Source organism: Homo sapiens, chromosome 18 (genome assembly GCF_000001405.40).
Source record: "Homo sapiens chromosome 18, GRCh38.p14 Primary Assembly".
NCBI classification, from domain to species: Eukaryota; Metazoa; Chordata; class Mammalia; order Primates; family Hominidae; genus Homo; species Homo sapiens.
The window spans coordinates 61,867,755-61,892,022 of record NC_000018.10 but is presented as its reverse complement, the minus strand read 5'-3'; the positions used below and the strand labels follow the sequence as shown (position 1 = coordinate 61,892,022).

General features: G+C 41.7%; 1 protein-coding gene across 7 annotated transcripts in view; it reads left to right on the top strand.

Annotated features, from left to right (window-relative positions):
- Window positions 1-24,268, top strand: part of RNF152 (ring finger protein 152) — an 86,346-nt gene that overhangs the window by 2,390 nt on the left and 59,688 nt on the right. For 3 of the 7 annotated variants that reach the window (XM_011525878.3, XM_011525879.3, XM_047437349.1), the window contains exon 3: window positions 23,812-24,026. The exons of the other annotated variants lie outside the window; for them this stretch is intronic. The gene's annotated coding sequence lies outside the window, so the exon portion shown is untranslated. The remainder of the gene's footprint in view (window positions 1-23,811; window positions 24,027-24,268) is intronic. 7 annotated transcript variants of the gene reach the window in all.

Genomic DNA, 24,268 nt, shown 5'->3' with positions numbered 1-24,268 from the left:
CCTTCAGACTTAGCAGGACACTCCGGCATTAGCATTTTCTGCTAGAGGGCAGAGTCCTGCGCATCCTACACTAGTAGCAGGGAATAAGAATGGTTATGGAAATGGGCTTTCGATTTTTCTTGTAGGAAGACAGATTGCTGAGGGCCAAAGGCTCCTGGTCTACTCTCTTTTACATTGCAGTAACACCTTGGTATCTGTGACAGATTCTCTCTTCACCATTTTCCTCCAAATCCCTTGAAAAATGAAGTTAAAAACTTGAAAGATTTATTATTCACCTCCAATGTAGTTTTGTTTTGGAAGGTGACTTTAAAAACATAGGTGACACTAGCATTTATCCTTCTACTACAAGCATTCAGGAGTCACTAGTAAAAGCAGTTGAGTTATCTAGTCCCAGGTGAAACAAAGGCCAGTGCTTTGCAAAGATCAGATGAGTAATGTGGTGCTAAGATAGAGGTATTTTTGACAAGTAATTTTTATGTCAGCAATAGTACAGGGTGTGTACTGTGTTGCTGCAAGAAGAAAAAACATGTGATGGGATAATAGGGAATGTAATAATGCAATAGAAACAAGGGTGTGGTTTTTTTTTTAATAGAAAGAATAAACACTTCGCACACAAAATTCCACATGGCAAAACAGTAGCCTGCCCATGTAAATGCACGTCCAAGAACAAAGATAGCCACAGTGCAGTGTTAGGTTTCATTGTGGTTTTAAATTGTGTACAGTAATAAATCATAATAAAGTGTCCATTGATGCTTAATTTTTTTTATATAAGAAGGAGGCTCCCCACCCTCAGATGTGTTTAGCTTTAGGCTGGAGGATCCCTAGAGGCTATTAGGCTGATCTCTGCCTCCAATGCCTGCTTCCTTTCTACAATGCTCATTTATTCATTTAGCAGATGTTTATTGGCACCTGATAGATAATGGACTCTGTGATAGATAATGGACTCAAGGGGTTGGGGTTGGGTGTAGGGGGAGACACAAAATTGAACTCCCTATAGGAAGACCTGATTCTAATTAACTTCAATGGAAGCTCAAGAGAGGTAGGATTGGACTTCTGGGGAGAGAAAATATGGTCATCCAGCCTCAACTTTAATGCCTCTTTCATTGAGGAGCTCACTGCTTCATAAATGGCTGTTGCTGTTGTCAGAAGGTGGCATTTTCATTGTAGTCTTTTTAGCTGAATTCCATACAGTTCGGTCCTTACATTGTTGAGGGTCATTCTGTTTTCATTTCTAATTCCCTCAGAGTTGTTTGAACCCACCTATGCTGTCAGCACCCTCTGCTTTTCAAGGTAGTGTTCAGTTCCTGATGAAGTTGAATTTTGAAACAAATGTTGCTTTTCCATATTATCTGATTTAGAAAACAGATTGATGGGATGCTTTTGCAGATTTTTCTCTTTTTTAAACAGTGACGTACCAGCAAGATAGGTGAGGTTATGCTGCAGTAACAAATACCTCCAAGTCTCCATAGCTAAATACAGTTTCTTTCCTTCCCATGCTGCATCCAGTGTGGTTGGCAGGTGGACCCTGCTCATCGTAGTCACTCAAGGACTCAAACTGATGGAGTCTTGGTCTTGATGTGAGCTTGCAAGATCATTGCAGCATCGGGAAGGAAATGCTGCAGGGTCTTGCTCTAGCAATTATGTGATCCTACCCAGAGGTGAGTTCCATCACTTTGGCCAGAACTGGGCATATGACCCTATTTAATCACAATTCAATATTTCTTGTGCTGAAAAAGGGAGAAGTGGATATGGGTGAGTAGCACTAGTGACTTCCACAGGGATCTGGTCTAGGTGAGGTTAGAAAGTGTGTCCTATGGGACCTAGCTCAGTGCTTGGTGGGTATTGGATGTCACAAGAGTATTGATTGAATCAACAACCTGTAATTTACAACCTGTATATTTACTATTCCAACCTGTAATTTACTAATATATGGTCCTACCCCCACCTGTAATGTACTACTAATATGTTGATATGGTATTTACTAACATGGTTGTACACTGGTCATCAAATAAAATAATTATAATCCTCTCTTTGCCTATTTCAAGTGCATGTTTACTCTGAAGTGAAAGGCCATTAGGTATTTTCAAGGCTGATTCTAGGAGGTTGTGAGCTTAGCATTATGTAATAGAGAGGTGTTACTTACAGACTTTCTCTTCCTCACCATCTGCCTCTTGTTTAAGGCTTCCTGAGTTTGTTTGGAACCGCCCAGGGTAGAAAAAGAGTGGCAATGGGCCTAGGGCCACCCAGGAGGTGGCCTCCTGCAGCAGAGACCACAGGGCAACAGATAAGATCTGAAGGGGGCAGGAATGTGTTTAGGGTAACCTTGGGTCACCCTTTTGTTACTTTGATGTTTAGAAAAAGCAATTTGGGCAAGAGGCTTTTTCTGGTCACAGGACTAGTAGAACACCCAGAGAGTTTAGGGACATTTGTGCTTCCATCAGCAACTGTATTGACTAGGAGGGTGGTGAGTTCTAAAGCCTTCCTTGCCTCACTCTCCCTAAAAAGAGTTGGATGCTATGGAATAGGCATTGCAAGGTGCTCTGGATTCAGCAGTTGGTGGCTTGCAGAGATTTTGCTTTGGGAAGAGCTGTTCACTCATATATCTTTGTTCACATTGTGATAACGGCATGCACGGGTGAGCCATTTTAAAGATTTGATAAATACCTTAAGCATAAGTGTAGAATTTAACAAAATAATATTGCTTTTGGTTCAGTAATCACCTTGGCAAAGTCATTTTTATAAAGATAGCTCTCCAAATAAGGAAGTGGTGTGGTAAACTATGTTAGTCTCCAAGTCACAGTGACTGAGGGGATATCAGTATCAACCTAGGGAGGTTGAGACCACCCGGCTTCATTCAAGTGATAAGATGTAGCACCCAAAGCGTTTCTGAATTGGGAGATGAGCAGCTTGGAGACCAGCAGGAAGAACCAGATATAGACCATCCAAAAACCCATTCAGGGTGCCTGGGGTTGGGCTGAGGGCCAGGCACAGACTGAGGGAGAAGGAAAATGAAAGCCCCGAGGGACTAGTCTTGAACTATATTTGGGAAGCCCCAAAATGCATTTCTATATTTTCTCTGGCCTCTGGGTCCCTACCACTTTAATTTCATACCCAAGTCGGCTGGTCAGGTAGAGGACTCTTGTGGCATGAAAGTGGTTTCTGGCACTGCCCATTGTGACGTCATGGAAACCGGAAAGGAAGAAGGTGTTGGTTTTCCTGCTTCTTTTCCCATGGCTTCGAGAGTTACACTGTGTGATCCAGCAGTCTGACTCCATGATTGAAATCACAATTGGGATAAAGTTGGTAGAGATGCTTCTTAATTTACAGTGGGGTTATATCCTCATAAACCCCTCATAAGTTAAAAATATTGTAAGTGGAAAATGCATTTAATACACCTACTGACATCATAGCTCAGCCTTGTCTGCCTTAACTGTGCCCAGAAATGCGCATTAGCCTACAATGGGGGCAAAATCATGTAACAAGAAGCCTATTTTGTATTAAAGCATCAAATATCTCATGTAGTTTATTGAATACTGTATTGAAAGTGAAAAACAGATTGGTCGTATAGGCACTCAAAGTACGGTTTCTACTGAATGTGTATTGTTTTCACACCATTGTAAAGTCAAAAAATCAAAGGTCATAGGTCAAACAGTTGTAAGTAGGGAACCGTCTGTGCTTGTTACATGCTTAGGGATTTTCAATTTCTAATTGACTCACTGTCATTGTAGGATTTAAAGAGGGAGACCTCAAATAGTGTATCTGTGACCTGCATCTCCTTTGGGTGGTTCTTGATGTCCATGATTTCTTGGCCTAGATCACGTTTGGCTGCTAAGGCCTGGACTACGTTCTTCGTGGAGTTGTGAGGGGGCTGCTTGTGATCGCCTAGGAGTGGAGAGGATGCCTTATTTACCCCTTGATATACTAATGCCTGCATAAATAAAACTCATTGCAAACATCCTGCATGATGAAACTTACTCAAACATCACATAGACTTCCTGGTTACCTGCCTTTCATGCAAAGGAGGGGCTGAGCAAATGAAGATGTGCTGCTGGTGGGAGCAAAGTTATGAGGAAGTAGAATCTCCAAATGCTGTGTTCTGTGCTTGTATTTTCTCTTTCTACAACCTCCTCTCCCCTGCCACTATCGCATTCCCACCTACCAAGGAAGTGTAACTTTCCCGGCTCAGTTCTGATCTAGACATCCAGATAATCACACTTGGTGCACTCCTCACTGAGGTTTGACAAGAATTGAAGAGATTTTGGTAAAAGCTTTGACAGATACTGTAGAAATAGGGAGCATTCTTTTTTTTTTTTTTTTTTTTGAGATGGAGTCTCACTCTGTCACCCAGGCTGGAGTGCAGTGGGGCATGATCTCAGCTCACTGTAACCTCTGCCTCCTGGGTTCAAACTATTCTCCTGCCTCAGCCTCTCGAGTAGCTGGGATTACTGGGATAATTTTTTCTATTTTTAGTAGAGACAGGGTTTCATCATGTTGGCCAGGCTGGTCTTGAACTCCTGACCTCGTGATCCACCCGCCTTGGGCTCCCAAAATGCTGGAATTACAGGCGTGAGCCACCGCACCTAGCCAGGAGCATTCTTCTTACTATTGCTGTTTCTGCTCCTTGACAGATTCACTTAGTGACAGTTGCCACTGCCGCATCTTAGTCAAGAACCTTGTTTCTCTCTGGGCTATGACAATGGTCTTGCTCACTTTCTGGCTTTCCCACCCCACTCCAGTTTGGAAAATGCTGTCACTCTTAGACCATTAGGCCAATTAATCCTTCATCCCCTCACTTAATAACTTTTAGTTGCCCTTGTGGGAGGAAGCTCATATTCTTCAGTTTTGCTTTTCAAGTTTTCCCCAGGTTGACCCCAAACTTCCTTTCCAACCTCGACTTTTGCTCCGCCTGACTTTAAAACTGAACATTAGCTGGGATGGTTAATCCACTGTTGCCCAAAATGTTTTTCATTGCCTCTTTCTTATTCTAGCACATTCTGTGGCCTAAAATGTCCTCTTCCTTCCTCTGCCTCTATCCTATCATCGAAGCCTCAGTTCAGCTCTCAACTCTTCTGAAAAATTTAACTTGATCACATTAGCCTTTAGAAATTCTTTATAATCCAAAGTTCTCTGGCAAAATTGCCTCCATCTCTCATTTCATTCAACATTCATTCATTCATTCTACAAAGGCCACTTGTCATAGATTGTCTTGTATTATCACCTACGATTGAAGTGTCTTTTTCTTTCTGTTTAATTGCAAAGAATAGAAATTCACTCAAGCTTGTTTGCATAAAGGGAGGTGAATTGAAGAGATGTCCCAGGATGTCTTGTCATCAAGCCACATTTCCCAAGAGTTCCAGTGAATGGGACCCTTCCAGTTATCATTCACCCTGGACCTGCTTAGTGCAGGAGAGGGTTGGGGGCACAGTTCCTTCCAAGGGGGCCTGTGGCTGGCTGATGTAGCAGTTGTGACCTGCAATTAGCCTACAATGGGGGCAAAATCATGTAACAAAAAGCCTATTTTGTATTAAAGCATCAAATATCTCATGTAGTTTATTGAATACTGTATTGAAAGTGAAAAACAGATTGGTTGTATAGGCACTCAAAGAGATCTCAGTTCTCTTGCAAGCTCCTTAAAGATGACTGGATGAGGCTTTACACCATTGTGTGTTTGCCACCGTGTTTGTACACAGGAAGGGCTCAATAAACAAATCATTGGTGACTCTTTGACAACACAGAAAACGATTTTGACTTACAGTGATTTAAAGGAATTTTAGACCCTTTTAGCTTGAAGTCTTAAAGGAAGTTAAGAAGATAGAAACTTATTTTTAAGAGCTTCCCCTACTTGCATTAATAATGATTAAATGTTGAATCAAATTAGAATGACCAGGCTGCAGTACGTATACCAATGTTTGGGAGGTGAATGTTCTCAATGAGGGTCATGATTCTAACAAAATTAGTTGTTACTCAAAGCCTGTTTTTCAACTTCCATTTGCCTCCTACTTTGCCCACAAAAAAAAAAAAAAAAAAAAAAAAAAAAGAAAGCAAAAGAAAGCAAAAGAAAAAAAACCTCTACTTGGTGACATACAACAAGCAGCTTTAGGACTTTACAGCCTACCAGACCACCCCACAATCTAACGGAGCAGGCATTGATGCCTGGATTTGTGATGACTGGGTGTAGTTGCCCACCGCTGACTGCCCCACCTGCGTTTATAATTAAAGGCTTCAATACCTTTGTGATATACATCTGTTTTACCTCCCTTTTTTTGATTTTGGAATACTCATTCACATGATAGAAACTCTTCTTTGATACTCAAAATGCTTGATCATTATGAGAGTGTTATTATGAAAGAGGGAAATATGTTCAGCTGCTTGAAGAAAATGACCAGAAATACATTAATATTAAAATAACGCTCTCGGCTGGGCGTGGTGGCTCACGCCTGTAATTCCAGCACTTTGGGAGGCTGAGGCGGGTGGATTACTTGAGGTCAGGAGTTTGAGACCAGCCTGGCCAACATGGTGAAATCCCATCTCTACTAAAAATACAAAAATTATCCAAGCATGATGGTGTGCACCTGTAATCCCAGCTACTTGGGAGGCTGAGGCAGGAGAATTGCCTGAACCTGGGAGGCAGAAGTTGCAGTGAGTTGAGATCGCACCACTGCACTCCAGCCTGGGCAAAAGACCGAGGCTCTGTCTCAAACAAACAAACAAAACACTCTCAGTTTGAAAGGTAGTGAATAGGGCTGAGATAAGTGTCTCAGGAACCAAGTATTTGTTGTGATATTCTTTTGCAGTTGTGTTGTTCTGGGGTAGGTTTGCAAATTGCTTCCTCGAAGATTAATAATATGAGATTAGAAGTGGTTGGTGAGCACATGGACAAATTTGTGTACTTTGGAGAATTTACCCCTTTTGTTGCATGAGACATAAGATTACTGCCATTTTAAGTGAGTAATAGTTAATTCAACCATGCAGGTAAAGAGGTGTCCTTAACTGGGATAAATAGTCCATCCACTCCACTCCTTTACATTGGTACTTCAGAAACTGAAGGTACAGATCCATCCATTCACCTATGGTGGTGTGTAAAATAGCATTTGAAACACTGAGCATCAGGTATTTAAACCACTTATTAGGCAAACAATTGCATTCATTAAATGTATTTTGAATGGCCAGGCATGGTGACTCACGCCTGTAATCCCAGCACTTTGGGAGGCTGAGGCAGGCAGATCACCTGAAGTCAGGAGTTCAAGACCAGCCTGGCCAACATGGAGAAACCCCGTCTCTACTAAAAGATACAAATTAGGCAGGCATGGTGGTGGGCACCTGTAATCCTAGCTACTCTGGAGGCTGAGGCAGGAAGAATTGCTTGAACCTGAGAGGTGGAGGTTGCAGTGAGCTGAGATTGTGCCACTGCACTCCAGCCTGGGCGACAGAATGAGACTGTCTCAAACAAACAAACAAACAAAAGAATGTTGAATGCCTATGTTTTACCAGGCATAATTCTAAAAAAATCCCTGCCTTCTAGCTTCCTGTAGGTATTTAACTCATAATTAATTTGGTTTTCTGCTTTTTTTTTTTTTTGTAATGGCAAAGCTAAAAGGGTAGAGAATAAAAGAAATGTATCTGATATTCTCTCAATTCTTGATACCTTAGCATATATGCCTGCCTTACATGGCTCTAATTCAGGTAAGTCATTATGAACTGGAATTTTAAAAAGTAAGATGGGTTTGGGTTTAAATTTCACGTCTGCCACGTGACCTGAGTGCACAAGGTCTGACTGAGTTTGTTCTTCAGCTGCAAAATGGGGGAGAACCGACCTCATTGAGTTAGTGTAAGAACAGGAGAGACTTACATATAAAGTGCTTAGTGTGTTGCCCTCCACAATGTAAGACTAAATAAATGGCAGCTGTTGCTAACGTCCTTATATCCAGCATCTACCATCCACCAATCATTGGGCTCAGTTCTGGAAATATCGGGATGAATAGGCATGGTCTAACCTGAAGAAGCCCTTAAGCTAGCCAAGGAGGTGATGGCATCCAAGTAACTACAGCCTTCAGCGTTTACATGGGAGTTTCTTTTACCTGTCATTATTGTCAGAGTCTTTGGTTTGAAAGTCTGTAAAGCTTTCAGTGGCTCTGAGTTTAAAATGATAGGCCTTCTCAGGAGGAAGTGGGGAAAAAGCTGGAAGCAACTGGAGGAGAGGAGTCTGAGAAAGGGTTCTGAGCTAGCCCCCAGGCAACCTGAGTCTTCCTTAAAGGAGATGAGTCGCCTTTCTCCTGTGGCCTCACTCTTCCCAAGTGAAATGAAGGACATCCTCTTTCTCAGGGTCTGCTTTCTTGGGAGTAGAGTGACCCCCAGACTTGCCCATGACTAAGAGCATACCTGGGTCATGGAACTTTCCGTTTTAAAACAGTCCCAGAAAAATTGGGATGAGCTGGTCACCCTCCAGTCTTGTTCTGTGATTGTTGTTTGACATCCTGAAGCAGGCTTTGTAGAGATCTAACATTGTTAGTAGAGATACAACCATCCTACAAGAGAGGAGCAAGCGGGGCAGAATAAAATGGGAAAAAACATTGTAGCCTTGTCAACCCCTTTATTTAGGAATCTGCTTTTTGGAATGGGATATTTATTATTATTAAAAAGAAGAGAACTGTTTAATAAAGGCAAGGAATCTAGGCTATACAATATAAATATAAAGTTAATGAAACCTTTTAGAAATTCTTCTTAAAAAGGGGTAGCCGCTTGGGGCCCGGTACACAGTAGACACTCAGTAAAGACTTATTGAAATGGTGGCATCAATTTATTCTTCAGAAATATTTTTGAAAGCTGCATAGAGAAGTGCAAGAGGCCTCTGAGACATGCATTCCAGGACAGGTTGAGGGGCTGAACACTGTGGGCTTTGAACCAGTCTGCGCCTCACTCTTCTGGGCCCTTCCATCACTCATTTGAAAATGCATGCATCTAGATATGCTCTGGGTTTCCTGTGCTGGTATCTGAGTGTGTTTATGTATGAGCTGATGCTCTTCATGACTGTGTTTTTTTTCTTTCTGGTGGAACCGCATGATGCTAGCAGACAAGTTGCTTTGTCTTTTGTTTGAAGCTAGGATGCCTCTGGAACATTCCTATGTTGTATGCATGATGGTAGTGTGGGTTGGGTGGAGGGGGGCATTGTGTACTCAGCACCCAGTGTTTACTTTCCAAAGATTCCAGAGGGTTTTCGTGATGAGTCTGTAATACCAAGTGGGGGTTGGGAAGGGAACCAGGCCTGGCTCCACCCTATAGCAGAGATCTTAGAGATCTCAGGAGCTGGGCTCCAATTTGCCAGCATTTCCTCTCTCTCTGAGTCTCCATTACTAACATGTGGGATTGATGGAGACTGATAAGGCCCTTAGCCAAGCCACCAGTTCTTCTAGTATTTAGCTGATGCCTCAAATGAAAACCCTTTGTGCTCTCTTTCTCCTTGGAACCTTAGCAAATTGCCAGCAACAGTGATTAGTTTGTTGGTTGCCAGTTCTGTAACCTCATGCACAGAGCACCTGAAGGCAATTGCCAGACACTTGCGTGCCTCTTTCCCATGTAATCATCATGCACACCAAGATACTGTGTTCACTGTGTTCCTGGCAAGCCAGATTTCTTCATAGTCTATTACTTCACCGAATAAAAAGGCAAATGACTTGTTTTTGGAAGGGGAATTTTATAGGCAAACAGAATGCATCTAATAAATTGCCTTTATTTTTACACACACAGTGCTAAATATTAGTACAAAGAGTTCGTTTCTCTGCAGATTAAGTACAGGCTAATCTATGTTTTGGATTTTGGATTTTGTAATATTTGCATTACACTTAATATTCAAACATTATATTTACTGGTTGAGCATTCCACATCTGAAAATCCAAAATCCAAAATTCTCCAATGAGAATTTCCTTTGAGTGTCATGTTTGCACTCAAAAAGTTTCTGATTTTGGAGCATTTCGGATTTCGGATGTTTGAATTTGAATGCTCAACTGTAGTTTACTTTTCTTTTTTCCAACAGAGGTGTCAGATCTATTAAAAATTAATTGTTCATACACCCTACATCTTATAACAAAACAATAAGTTATTTAAGAATTGCATCTCAAGGCAGTCCACACTGTCCTATAAGAAGACTGTTAATTAACAAGGAAAAATGTCTTCTCTGAGAAGGAAATAAGAATATGTCAGATTTCACCCCAAATTTATTTCATCTTATTTGTAGAACTTGTGCGTGGAGATGCTAAACCCTCTCTTTGTGCTCCTTAAAATAACATTCTCTTGGGGGCAAATCTAGTTTGCAATGAAGATTGAAAAATAGATGCCATCTAGATAATTTAGAATTCCTTATAAATTAGGAAGACAGTGATAATCAATTTTGGATTCTAAACCTGAGTCAGCCTAGTTCTAGTTGCTTCAGCATTCATTTGATTTCATGTCTTTGACTATGGCAAAGGGCAACAGTATTAGCTTCTGTTACCGCTTTTAGTAAAGGTGAATGTGATTTTACTGAGACAGAAACCCTAGAAATGGGTTGTTTGCCTGCCATCTGCACTTCTCCTCTTCCCATCAGAGGAAGCAGTTCTGAACAGACTCATTGTCCTCTGGGTTCTGGAGTCTGCATCCCTCATTTTTATTTCTCCCTTGAGATTCTGACTTGTAAAGAAACAAATTTCTTCCTTTTATGAGGCTTTTTAGTGCCAGGTGACTGGTGTCGTTCGCTATAATCTATAGTACTTAACAGCTAAATACATTTTGTTTTCCCCAAGCTGATTACAGTGAAAATAAGAAAACGAGAGAGAGAAGGCCGGGTGCGGTGGATCACACCTAATCCCAGCACTTTGGGAGGCTGAGGTGGGTGGATCCTCTGAGGTCAGATGTTTGAGACCAGCCTGACTAATATGAGGAAACCCTATCTCTACTAAAAATACAAAAATTAGTTGGGCGTGGTGGCATGCGCCTGTAATCCCAGCTACTTGGGAGGCTGAGATGGGAGAATCGCTTGAACCCCAGAGGCGGAGGTTGCAGTGAGCTGAGATTGCATCACTGCACTCCAGCCTGGGTAACAAGAGCAAAACTCCGTCTCAAAAAAAAAAAAAAAAAGAAAACTAGAGAGAGAAAGACAACAGTTTGAGGGAGGAGGAGTGAGTAAAGAGAAGAATAAGGGTAAAGAATTGTGTAGGTGTATGGTATTTTCAAAATTCAGTTTTAGTCAAAATGAAGAACAACTGTTGTTTATATGGTGGTGTTGGCTTCATAATTAAAAACATTTTGCCTGATGCAAATTGAAGTTATTATTAATAATGTTTTACAAAATGACATGGAAATTTATCAGATATTTCCCTTTCCTAACTATCTTGGATTCCGCAATGTATTTCATGACAACCAAAAGACAATTTGGGAGAGTGGGGGAGATAACTGTAGTAGAAATATAGTAGTAGATAGTGTTTATTAGACGCTTGGGTGCTTTCAGTTTAAAGTGCTTTAATCACGTTATCTGGGAGGCAGTGGAACTTGGAAAAGCCTGGTGACTTGTCCAAGGTTACGTGGCGAGTTTGTGCTGGAGCTGGAACTGGGATATGTGACCCTGGGCAGTCTGGCTTGAGTCCTTCCTCTTAACTGCCTGTGAGCCACACTCACAACTGGGATTAGGGTTCAAAAGCATTTTGAAAACTGGTTCAGTGTAACGTAATTTAGGAAGAGATCTGAATTCTTTGCGGACCTGTCTTTGGGAACAAAGATGGACAATTTTGGCCACCCATCTGTTGAATGTGTTTGATGTTGACTTAGAGAATGGGTTGTTTGAAAGCTTGGGTGTCAAGTTTTGTTGGGAAATTTGCAGCAAGATTTCTGGCTATTACCTGAGTTTTGTCCTGTGCTAATTCAGGTTTCTGTGAAGTCAGGTGGTGTGAATTGTTTCTAGAAGGGCCACTTAATTGAACACCAGTGTATATAGTTATGTGAGAGATTCTGTCAGAGTCTGGGAGCTTAGGATTTTTCGGAATACACTACTAAAAAGCTGTGCACAAAAAAAATTTTTTTTTTTTTTTTGAGATGGAGTTTCGCTCTTGTTGCCCTGGCTGGAGTGCAATGGCGGGATCTCGGCTCACTGCAACCTCTGCCTCCTGGGTTCAAGCGATTCTCCTGCCTCAGCCTCCTGAGTAGCTGGGGTTACAGGCGTGCGCCACCACACCTGGCTAATTTTGTATTTTTTCAGTAGAGATGGGGTTTCTCCGTGTTGGTCAGGCTGGTCTCGAACTCCTGACCTCAGGTGATTCGCCTGCCTCAGCCTCCCAAAGTGCTGGGATTACAGGTGTGAGCCATCGTGCCTGGCCTCAAAAAAATGTTTTTACAATCCTCCCTCTCTAGTTACTGTTTCTTCCTGACCCCATACCAGAAAGTGGAATAAATCATACCCTTTTGTATTCCCATTCCTTTGTGTAGTTCCCTTTCCCCGGAACACGCTTTCTCCCTATCCTTCCTCTCTGCCCTCCCGCAAAACACAGCATAGTGATGGAAAGCTATAAGTACCATATATACAGTCGTCACTCAGTATCTATGGGGCACTGATTCCAGGAACCCCCTTAGAAACCAAGATCCATGCATGCTCAAGTCCCTGATATGATATGCCATAGTTTTTGCATATAACCTATGCACTTCCTCGTGTATACTTTAAATCGTCACTAGATTACTTATAAAGCCTAATACAATGTAAATGCTATGCAAATGTAATGTAAACATGATGTAAATGTAAACACAATATAAATGTAAGTTGTTGTTATACTGTATCGTTTAGCAAGTAATGACAAAATGAAGAAGTCTGTGCACATTCGGAGTGGAGGTAACCATTTAGTATTATTTTTCCTGAATATTTTTGATCCATGGTTGGTTGAATCCACAGATATGCGACCCAGATATGGAGGGCAGACTGTACTTTCTTCGATACTTTGTTCCCATTTTACTTGTCCTGTTGATCCTCCTCCAGCTCCCTCAGGCAGACTTACTTTCCTTTCCATTTGTTCTTTCTAATCCCACTTACCCTGTGCGTGAAAATTCTGCATATGGTTGCCTCTCCAGCTCTAGTGTAAGTTCTTTAGCTGTAGGAACTGCTATCATTTGAATGTATGTGTCCCTCCAAAATTCATGTTGGAATTTAAACCCCAAGATGATGGTATTAAGAGCTGGGCCTTTAGGAGTTGATTAGGCCATGAAGGCTCTGCCCTTGTGAATGGGATTAATGCCCGAAGAGGCTTCAGAGAACTGCCAGGCCCTTCCATTTCTTCTGCCACGTGAGGACACAACAATAAGGTGTCATCTTGGAAACAGAGGCCTCTCACTAGACACTGAATCCACTGGTGCCGTGGTCTTGGATTTCTCAACTTCCAGAACTGTGAGAAATAAATATTTATTATTTATAAATCACCCAATCACAAGTATTTTGTTGTAGCAGCACAAACAGACTAAGACAGAAATCTTGTCTGTTCAGGAGTTTGGATGAATGAATGGAGGCTCAAACAAGCAAATGAACAAACAAGTGATTAACACGTGAGTTTGTTGGGATTGCTTAGGGTATATGTTAGTGGACAATGATGTTAGACCTGAGCATGGACCTGTGACTGCTGCAGAGGCTGGCTAGATGCTCACCAGAATCTCAGCATTTTGACCTCTGGGGCTGGATAATTCTTTATTGTGGGAAGACCGTCCTGTGCAGTGTGGGATGTTTAGTAGCATCCCTGGATTCTACCCACTAGGTATCAGTTGTCCCAGTTCAATCAAAGATGTCTCCAGACATTGCCAAATGTCCTCTAGGGGACAAAATTACCCCTAGTTGACAATCACTCGACTATACTACTTTCTGTACCTAGGTGGGGCCATGTGACTGGTTCTCACCAATGGGATGTATATGGAAATGAGATGCAGTTCAGAGTGGGATGCCTTTTCTACCCTCGTTCTCTTTCTAATCTGCTGGTCAGTTTCAAGAGTCCAGGGGAGAAGTCTGAAGTCCTAGGATATGGCAGAAAGAACCTGGGTTCCTAAGAGACCTTGTGGAGCAGATGCTCCCTTGCCAAGTGTCATTGGAATACACTGTGAAGAAGAGAGAAACCATTACTGCATTTGGCCACTCAGATTTGGGGGTGTTCATTTTGGCAGTCTACTGTCTGACTTTCCCTGACATTTGGGATGAAGAGACTTTGCTGAAGCAGCCGTGCCAGTATTCCTGGTAGTGAGTAAAAATAGAGATTCCAAACACAAAAAAAGGGACAGATTTTGTTTGTTTTTTCTTGTGCAGCATCAGCCTTATTGCAATAATTCTTGTAATTTCTGTATTTTATCAGAAAATGAGATGATGATAATATTTGTTATTCCTACCACCCTAATAATTTTGACGTGTGATTAACAAGCAGCTTTGAGCTATAAATACTTTCAGTAGAAAGTAATAAAACCTCAAGTGTACTGGCAGTTTTCATTTCACTGTGTATGTATATGTGTCTGCAACACAAGTTCGAGTTGAGATATTTGTGGCAATTTATGTATAATGCATTTTAACATTTTTTGGGAACAGTGACAGATGTGGATACCCTGCAGTCACAGCTGTTTCCCACACCATTAATAAATAAATCACTGTATAATATGACAGTCTTTGAAATGGACTCTTATATGCTTAGTCCAGCTGAATGCCATGGATTAGTGTCCTGTAAAATGCTGAACCCAAGAACTTGCTTATCAGACTAAATTCAGTGCACCATTCTAAATTTATTCTGCTGCAATCAATTGTATTTGTCATTGTGTCTACGCAGAACCCCTGACCAAAATACGTAAGTCAAATGGTTTCATTTGGTGCCCATGTGGATGACAACAGCCGAGTTGTTTGTGGGAGACAATGGCTGTTTGTGGATGAGTCTTTCGATGGCTGGAAGCTTTGTGTTTGGTTCAGTGGTCTGTGTGCCTGTTCTATTTGCACAGGATTCAATCCTTTGTACAAAGAGCCACCCCAACTGAGTTTCACCATACCTGTCAGTCAAAATCCCTGTCTCCAGGAAATACAGCAAATCTGGCTTGAGGATACAATGGTCAAGTCTCTTTTTCCAGTAAATATCCTGCTAGGTGTCTTAACTTCCAAATATCTGAGTCTAGTGTTTTGTTCCCCCATATAAAGCATTTGCATAATAATGAGCATAAGACTGACACTTACGCCATGAATTGTGTGCCAGGCTCTAAGGGTTTTGCTTACAGTGCGTGCCTACTCCTCACAGCAATCCTACGGGGTAGAGTAGACGGTTCTATTAATGTCTCTATTATATGGGTGAGGAAATTGAAGCACAGAGAGCCTAAATGACTTTCCTGAGGTCACAAAGCAAGTAAAAGCCAGAGCTGGGATTAGAACCCAGTCAAGACGTCTCCAGCATTGATGCTGTAAGCCACTGCAGTATGCTGCCACAGCCTTGTCATTCTGTTAAGGAGATGTGCTTTCTCTGAGATCTCCTGTATTTTCATGACTTCGACTAACATCTGTATATGATGCTTAAAAAGAGTTGTTGATATTATTGCTTATTTTTTTTTGTGGGCTGAGTGTACTTTCTCAACTTCATTGTCAGCTAATGCTCTTATATCTTCCCTAACTCTTGGCATAATGCTTCCATGTCAGAAAGTAGTTCATTAGCATGTTGATTTGGTTATTTTTATACCAAGATGCTCCTTTAGAAGGTTACCCTGCAGGAGTAAGAACATGCGTACAAAGGGATGCAATTGCCAGGTGGTATAGGAATGAAATGGTAGTGGAATTCAGAGGATTCAGAATGCCTTCACAAAAAATGTAGTATTTGACAATGCCCGTGAAGGGTAGACAGTAATTGTCTGGACACATGGCAGTGAGGAATGGCATTGGTGACAGCATGGGGGTAAGTGGCTCCTGTCTTCCAGACAGTGAGTAATGCTTTATGACTGGGACTGGTAGTATGGGAGTATGGGAGTAGGAATAGTATGAAAAAGGATTGGAAAGGTTGGTGGGAGGGGGACTTAGGGATTTATTTGACAGGAAGCCATTGATGGTTTGGGGACTGGAGGAGGATGTGGTCATAAAGCTGTGTTTTTAGAAGCTTAATCTGGCAGTCATCAATATGGATTGGGGCAGGAAGGGACGAAGGTGGGGAGACCATGGAGGTGGGTGGGGGAGGTCCAGAGATGTAATGAAGACCTGAGCCCTTGGGGAGGGTGGCAGGAATGGGAGGGTGAATCAATGCAAGAGACATTTCAGAGACAGAGCTAGTAGCAGTTTGGAGATTAATTGAATGAGTGGTGAGACATACACAGGTATTCAAGTCTGAGGTATTGGGTAAATAATGGTAACGGATATAAAATTGCAGGGAAAAAAACAGATTTGGGAGAAATTAAGAGTTTGCTTTAGAAGCAGCATTGAGTGGACAGGTCAGAGCTGACCTTCGTGGGTAATCCACGCCCAGATGGTCATTATGAATGTGAGGCTTAAACACCTTGCCACCAGGGAGAGAAGCTCTCTAGAGAGCTGACCATGTAAAGGCATAGGTCTGAAGGGTTGTAGGAACAAAGAAAAAAAATTTGTTTTCTGGAACAGAGGACACTTGCATGCACTGACAATTAAATTTGATGTCTTATTTAAAGTTAGGATGTAGCTTAACTTATATTTATTATTCCCAAATTGGTTATGATTTCAACTGGATTTAAAATATTGAAAAGATTTTACAGACGGTGCTTAAGGACTGTTCCATATAGGACCCTGTCTGGAATATTGGGAATCTGGTTGGAAGATCCCTTCTCATACAAATTGGTTAACTCATTAGCCTCCAGGTGTTACCCAAGTTGTTGCCTCATTTAGAATGCCTGCCTTCCCTTTCTTCCTCTATCCTTCTATTCAAACTCTAACTCTTCCTTCAATACCCTGTTCAGATCCCATCTCTGAATCCCTGATTCCAACTGGAAATGGCCTTTGCTGCCTCCAACATCTTGCAGACCATGGCATATCCCAGGGGATGGCCAGGTGCTGGCCGGTGATGCAGGTGGGTCTTTGAGGGCTGGGCTTGTTCATCTTTGCATCTCAAGCATCTTACTTATTTTTTTTTCACCAGGTCAGCATAAAGAGTGTTTAAGGTCTGTACCCAATAAAGCTAAACTTCATCTAAGTTGTAAAAAACCCCAGCTGAAATAAAATACACTATGGAAATGACTTCAATATCCTGAAAACACAATAGCTAAGAACCAGACTGGGATTAGATACCCCACTATGCTTAGCCCTAAACCCAAGTAGTTAAATTAACAAAACTATTCACCAGAGAACTACAAGCCACAGCTTAAAACTACTTGGCGGTGCTTTATATCCTTCTAGAGGAACCTGTTCTATAATTGATAAACTCCGATATACCTCACCATCTCTTGCCACTCAGCCTATGTACTGCCACCTTCAGCAAACCCTAAAAAGGCCTTAAAGTAACCATGAGAACTGTTATGTCTCTTACTAGTTCTGCCTCCTTAAGGACTGTGGTGATCTAATGCTTTTTAAAATAGTTGCACATTATTTTGAATGTGATTTCTTCAGTGGTCCTGGTTGGTTGATTGAGGGCTCTTTCATCAAGAAACGTTCTTTCCACTCTGTGCATGCTAACTACACTTTGGTAGCTGAATCCTGTATCTGTAATCGGAAATACAATATGTTGGCTATCACCAATGACTTGGTTTATATTTGTCTGCTCTTCAAAAGACATTAACTACCTTGATGGATTCTTCTCTTTGGTCAGTTCATGCGCTGTTAAACTGCGGCAGCGAGGAGGTAATATTAGGGGAAATTATTATGTCATTTTGCCTTTGGTTTTACCTAAGATGTCAGGGTAGCTTTTCAGGAACTGAAATATACTCAAGCCTAAACAAGTAAAACAGTAGTAAAGTATGAAATTAGTTTTTATATTTCTAAAATTAAATTAATTAGACAAAGTACACTTATTATAGTATGAAGAATGATCATGAATAAAGAGATTGAAACTATGCTTATTAAGATAGATTAGGAAAATACTTTAGAGGATGCAAGGGGTTTACTTTTCCTTTTATGAGATTTGTTTACTAATAAAATTTCATCTCCATCAGCCTCAACAAATGCCCAGTAATTAGTACCGATTAGCTAAGATCTGCTACCCTGGACTTGGACTGTTCCATTTTCTCGGAAAACAAGTCCACTTTCCTTGGGTTGTGGGGAAAGAAGTGTTATTTCCTCAGAAAATATGTCAGGTAAACTGATGTTCATAACGGACTTTTGAACAATTAGAGTTCACTATGTGGGCAGAAAAAGAAACAAATGGTGGTGGTAACCCCACTGCTGTAAGATGTGAGGCCTGCCCGTGTTTAAGAATGGAGACTGAGGCTGGGCGTGGTGGCTCATGCCTGTAATCCCAGCACTTTGGCAGCTGAGGTGGGTGGATCACCTGAGGTCAGGAGTTCAAGACCAGCCTGACCAACATGGTGAAACCCTATCTCTACTAGAAATACAAAATTAGCCAGGCGTGGTGGCGTGCCTGTAATCCCAGCTACTTGGGAGGCTGAGGCAGGAGAATCGCTTGAACCCAGGAGGCAGAGGTTGCGGTGAGCCGAGATAGCGCCATTGCACCCCAGCTTGGGCAACAGAGCGAAACTCTGTCTCAAAAAACAAACAAACAAAAAGAAAGGAGACTGCAGAATTTTTGAGTACAATTTTAAATATTAAATATCTCTGATATTTGTACTTGTGTCAGTTAAAAAAATTGCTAATATACTTGGCAATAATTAACTTTTAAGCATTTTGTGAAATTCTGCAGAAGTTACCCAATTTCATTCTCATAATAATTAGGAGTAGGTTCTGTCTTTGCCCTGTATTTTTTGATGGGCAGACAGAAAGCACAGTGAACTTTAGTAGCTTGCTCAAGATTGTGCTAGCAAGTGGCAGAACCGGGACAGAACCCCAAATCTGGTACGTAGAAGCATTCATATGTTGTAGTCCATTAAAATATATTAATCTTTCAAAATTTTGCAGTAAGTTATTGAAAAGTACCAACCAAAGGAAGCTATTATCAGAAACAAAATAAACTAATAATAAACATCTTTAGAGTAATTATTTGCTCACTACAAAAATGAGCATGGCATTAAAAATGAAATACTAAAAATTTTAGAGTTTTAATTTCAGTCATGGTGTACTTTAGTAATAATAGAGTTGTAAAATCTTATTATGGCTGTTTTGTTTCTATACCAGAAATTCATCTGGAAATTATAGCACAACAAATAGCTGCGAAAATCATGATGATAGTCATTATATCAATGACATAGTTGTGGAAGAAGAGAATAATGAGGTTATTTTGAGGGAAGTCCACTACAGTAGAATGGCAAATGCTTTTCAAATGTAGGGCAAACCAGAAGGGAAAGAGGCCTAACTTTGGGTTTATAATATATCATGAAAATTGGGGGTTGGGAGAGGGGCATGATTTCATGAATATTTGGTGATTAAAAATTGGACTGCAAGGAGTTAATTTTGAATTTTTAACCAGACATTTTCAAGCTTGTTAGCAATAGTTTTGGCTCTGATAGTAAGATTTTTAAACAAGCATTGTTAGTCTCTAGCCTGTTGCTCTATGAAGTTTCCACCTCTAGGACTGGAAGGAACTTCAGCGATCAGGTTTGCTACCTGATGTGGTTTGGATCTATGTCCCCACCCAAATCTCATGTTGAATTGTAACCCCCAGTGTTGGAGGTGGGGCCTGGTGAAAGGTGATTGGATCATGGGGGTGGATCCTTCATGATGGTTTAGCACTATCCTTTTGGTGCTGTTCTCCTGATAGAGTTCTCACGAGACCTAGTTGTTTAAAAGTGTATAGCACCTCCTCCAACCCTTGGTCCTGCCATGTAAGATGCCTGTTCCCATTTTGCCTTCCACCATGTTTGTAAGTTTCCTGAGGCCTCCCCAGAGCCGAGCAGATGCCAACATCATGCTTACTGTACAGCCTGCAGAACCGTGAGCCAATTAAGCCTCTTTTCTTTATAAATTACCCAGTCTTAAGTGTTTCTTTATAGCAATGTGAGAATTGACCCATATACTGCCCTTAATATAGGATCCTTTCTTGGAGGCTCCCTCACAAGTAGTTTTAGTTGTTGCCATGAAGATATGTACCTATCAGAGGCTTACTACCTCTCAAGTAAATTGCTCTTATTTTATAGTTGTAAAACCTGAGACTAAAAGAGGTAACTTGATAGACCAAGGGCTCTGCAGCTCCAAGGTGGGCCATGAGTTGTCCCTACCAGAACAAGCCAGGCTGTTCATGGTCCAAAGCCCAGCCTTACCTTCTGAAGGCTCGGCATCGGGATACCATGAACCACTGCCATACAATCCCACAACCTGCAGAATAGCCTGGTTTTACCATTAGAGAGTCATTTCTTAATGATATGGTGAAAACAGCATGAATTTTGTTCATTTGGTCGGCTGAGGGCAGTAACCCTTCTGTTTATTATCAGCCCTGTGATCCTAAGTAAATTACTCATCCTTGCTGACCCTCTGTGTTCTGGTTTAAGATGAGACCAGTAATATCTATCTCGAGAGGTCATGGAGATGATGAATCCTGGTAACTTGATGTGTTGGAGCACTTGCAAGGTATCTGGTGCTGTTTTAAGTATTGTATATGTGTTACCTAATTCTCAGAATAGTAGTCTAAGGTGGGAATCCAGAGGCAGGCCCAGAGGAATGAAATGATGTGTCTGAGTCCAGAAGCTGGTAGGTGGACAATTCAGGGTGAATCAATTCCCTTCTGTTTTTTTTTGGGGTGGGGGGAGGTGGGTGGGGGTGGGAGGTGGTTCACTTTCTGTGAGTCCTTTCCTAAACTGGCAGTGCCCTTGTGAAGGTAACATGTACACACCTCCGAGAGGTTGTAGTAGCCAATGGTGTGAATCGAAGCCTAAGGTAAAAGCCTCTATCAGAAAATACAAATGCTTCTAGTGAATTCTAGTAACAGCCTCTCTGGGAAGCAGGTGCAGGGCCTTGGGGTGCCATTATCAGGATGGGGTCGGGGATGTCTGATGGAGGGAATATGGAAAAGACTAAGGTAGCACATTATCTAGACAGCTGGGCTGAACTGATTTGGGGGATGGAATCATGGGTGCAATGTGTGTGATGGGTTAGGAGTCAGGTGGGCATCAGAGGTTGAGAAGGAGTTAGGGGAACAGAGAGAAACAGGGATGCTGTTTCCCCTGAACTGTTTTGCCTGGACTGGAGCTGGAGCCTTATGTGGGTTTCACTTCATTTCTTCCTGGGCCCAAAGAAATGAGGTCCATAAACCATAGTAGGAAAATAGGACCTCGATCCTTTTTCTTTCTTGGTTAACCTTGAAAGAACTCCCTTTCTCCCTGCATCCAAAAAAAGAAGAGGAAGAATGCCCTGGTGGAAAACCTACAGGGGGTAGCTTTCAGAGTTCATGCTTGGCCAAGAGGCAAACAGCATAGCAGGCTTTGGAACCACAGAGTCGGCAGGGGTTTGAAGCCTTCTCTCGAGGGACAGCAAGCTAGTAGGTAAGGTGACAGGCGTGGTCTCCTCTTTCTTCCTGGGGTGGAAAAAAACTGGAGCAGGGGACAGCCCAGAGTAAGAAAATACCACGTGGGAGATGAGGACAGGAAATGCATCAGACATGAAGATTTCCATGCCTGTGTGTGTTTACAGTAATCAATCCCACCCTCAGAGGCTGGGATCAGGAGAGCCTGTTTCTCTTTGGAGTGCGGAGGCCACGTCACAGCTGCAATTGGATTTGACCACCAAAAGCTCCCTGCTGTGCTTTCCACACCCCCATCCCGACACAGCTTCTTTATAATCCTAAAAGCAGGGTATTCGTGATAAATGTGGGTGCAGGAACGTAATATTTCCATGTTTTCAAATTATTTCTTTCCAAGAGAGCGTGAGGTTTGGAATAAATGGAAATACTTTTTTATGGTATAACAAGTTATATGGTGACTTGCCTGTCTTTTCCTTCATGGATAAAAATCAGAGTCAACAAGCCCAACGTAAAAGCCTCTGTCAAGGAATACAAATGCTTCTAGCAAATCCTAGTGACACTGTTTCTTTCATGGTTTCCTGTCCAAAGTACATCTGCTTATAAACTTTCTCATTTTTGTTTACATCATTGTTGTGCCAAGTTCATGGATGCATAAAAGCTGAGGAAGTTGGTGGGTAAGTGGCTTGTCTGAGTTTATGAAGATGATAAGCTTCCGGGTGTGTGCATGTGTGTGCGTGCGTGTGTGTGTGCCCACTCAGTTACATGAGTTTTCCTTTTCATTCATTTACTGGACATTCATTTACTTTGAAGTTCCTTCTAAAACCTGTACTTATTCTAATGATCTGTGGTGTCTTCCTGGCACCCTCCTGGATCAGCTAAGTTCTTGATGCCAAACTTTGCTACATCCTTTATTGAAGGTGTGAGTGTAAAGTAAACCTAAACAAATGGAAATAACACAAAAGTTTGTGTTCCTTTATCAAGTGGGTCTCTGGGTGTTCACCTTTAGTGCCGTCTGTGGTGAGGTGACAGGGCATTCCACATTTAGTTCTTTTCCAGTAACAGAATCTCTTGTCAGGTGCAGGAGACAATACCTCCATGGCCCATGTTTATTTGGAAGTAGGGGTTGTTTTTATGTATCCTAAAAGATGAATCTTGGAGACCAGTTTTCTTTGAACACTTGAGTTGCTTGGAAGTATGATTGGAAGAAGACCCCTGACAGCTTTTGACCCCACCTAGTGATTTTGTGGAGTTAGCAGTTGAAATTTGAGGATAGACATTCCCTATTTCTTTGGATTTTACTAATTAGGGTTTTGTGGTCAGTGAAATGATTAAGACTGGGCTTTCCTTTAGCTCATCCTACTTAGAGAGACATGGTGAACTTAGGAAATTTTATATAACAATCGAGATTACCTCTGAGATGTTAGAATATTCTCAGAATCTCTTCTGATAACCTCAAATGCTTATAAAAACCTGTGTTCTTACAAATGGTGAATGCTTTTTAGTTACTCTCATCATGAAACTGGGAACCCTAAGAACCTCAAGTATAGGCAATTTATTGTCCATCTGATTTTAAGTCATCTATGAAGATGTGTGGATGCTGCTGGTCTTTTTGCACTGTTGCCTTTGTAATGCCTGCTCCTGACTTGACTACATGCTTCCCTGCTCTGTCTTTCTGCCACATAACTACAAGGCACACTACTGATTTATGCTTTTCATTCATTTCCTGGACATTCATTTACTTTGAAGTTCCTTCTAAAACCTGTACTTATTTTTTTTTATTTTTATTTTTTGAGACGGAGTCTTGCTTTTGTTGCCCAGGCAGGAGTGCAATGGGTGATCTTGGCTCACTGCAACCTCTGCTTCCCGGGTTCATGAGATTCTCCTGCCTCAGACTCCTGAGTAGCTGGGATTACAGGTGCCTGCCATGACGCCCGGCTAATTTTTGTAGTTTTAGTAGAGACGGGATTTTACCACGTTGGCCAGGCTGGTCTCAAACTCTTGGGTAATCCACCCGCCTTGGCCTCTCAAAGTGCTGGGATTACAGGCACGAGCCACTGCACCCGACCTAAAACCTGTACTTATTCTAATGACCTTGGTGGCTTCCCAGTGCCCTGCAGGATCAGCTGGGGGTGGCTGGGCTGGGTTTACCTCTGTCCTGTGGTCTCTGAACTGATACTGAGCAGTGTAGCTGCTCTTGAGACTTGGAATAAGCTAGGAGGAAAAGAGAAATATTGGGACATATTTTTAACATGCTTTTAAACATCCCTGAAACATAACACAGATATATGCTGTAAGTCTACAGCAACACCCGAAGGCCAACCTCTACAGTGGGTAACTTGTTCTGAATGCCTGTGCTGGCTACGAGGAAAATGACTGGAGAGAGGAGCCAGGAAAAGCCCAGCTGCACACATTACCATGAATCTCCTCAGACAGCTTTCTAAGTGAGGAGCTGGGGTATCTGAATTGCCCCTAGGAGGCTCGTTAAGTTCTAAGAAGGTGAGCAAAATTGATTTAATATATTGTTTGTGTTAGCTAGCATATTTGTTTAAGGTTAAATTTACATAATAGTAAAGTTGTATTTTTATGTGCGTTTTGTGTATTTTTATAGTACAGTGGGGGTTCCTTATAGAATTAGTGTGCACTGGACATTCGTGGCCATTTTATAGGATTTAAGAGCAGTATTTTACATTTTAAATGATTACTGTGAATTCAGTTGTTATTTTTATTTTTCCTGCTGC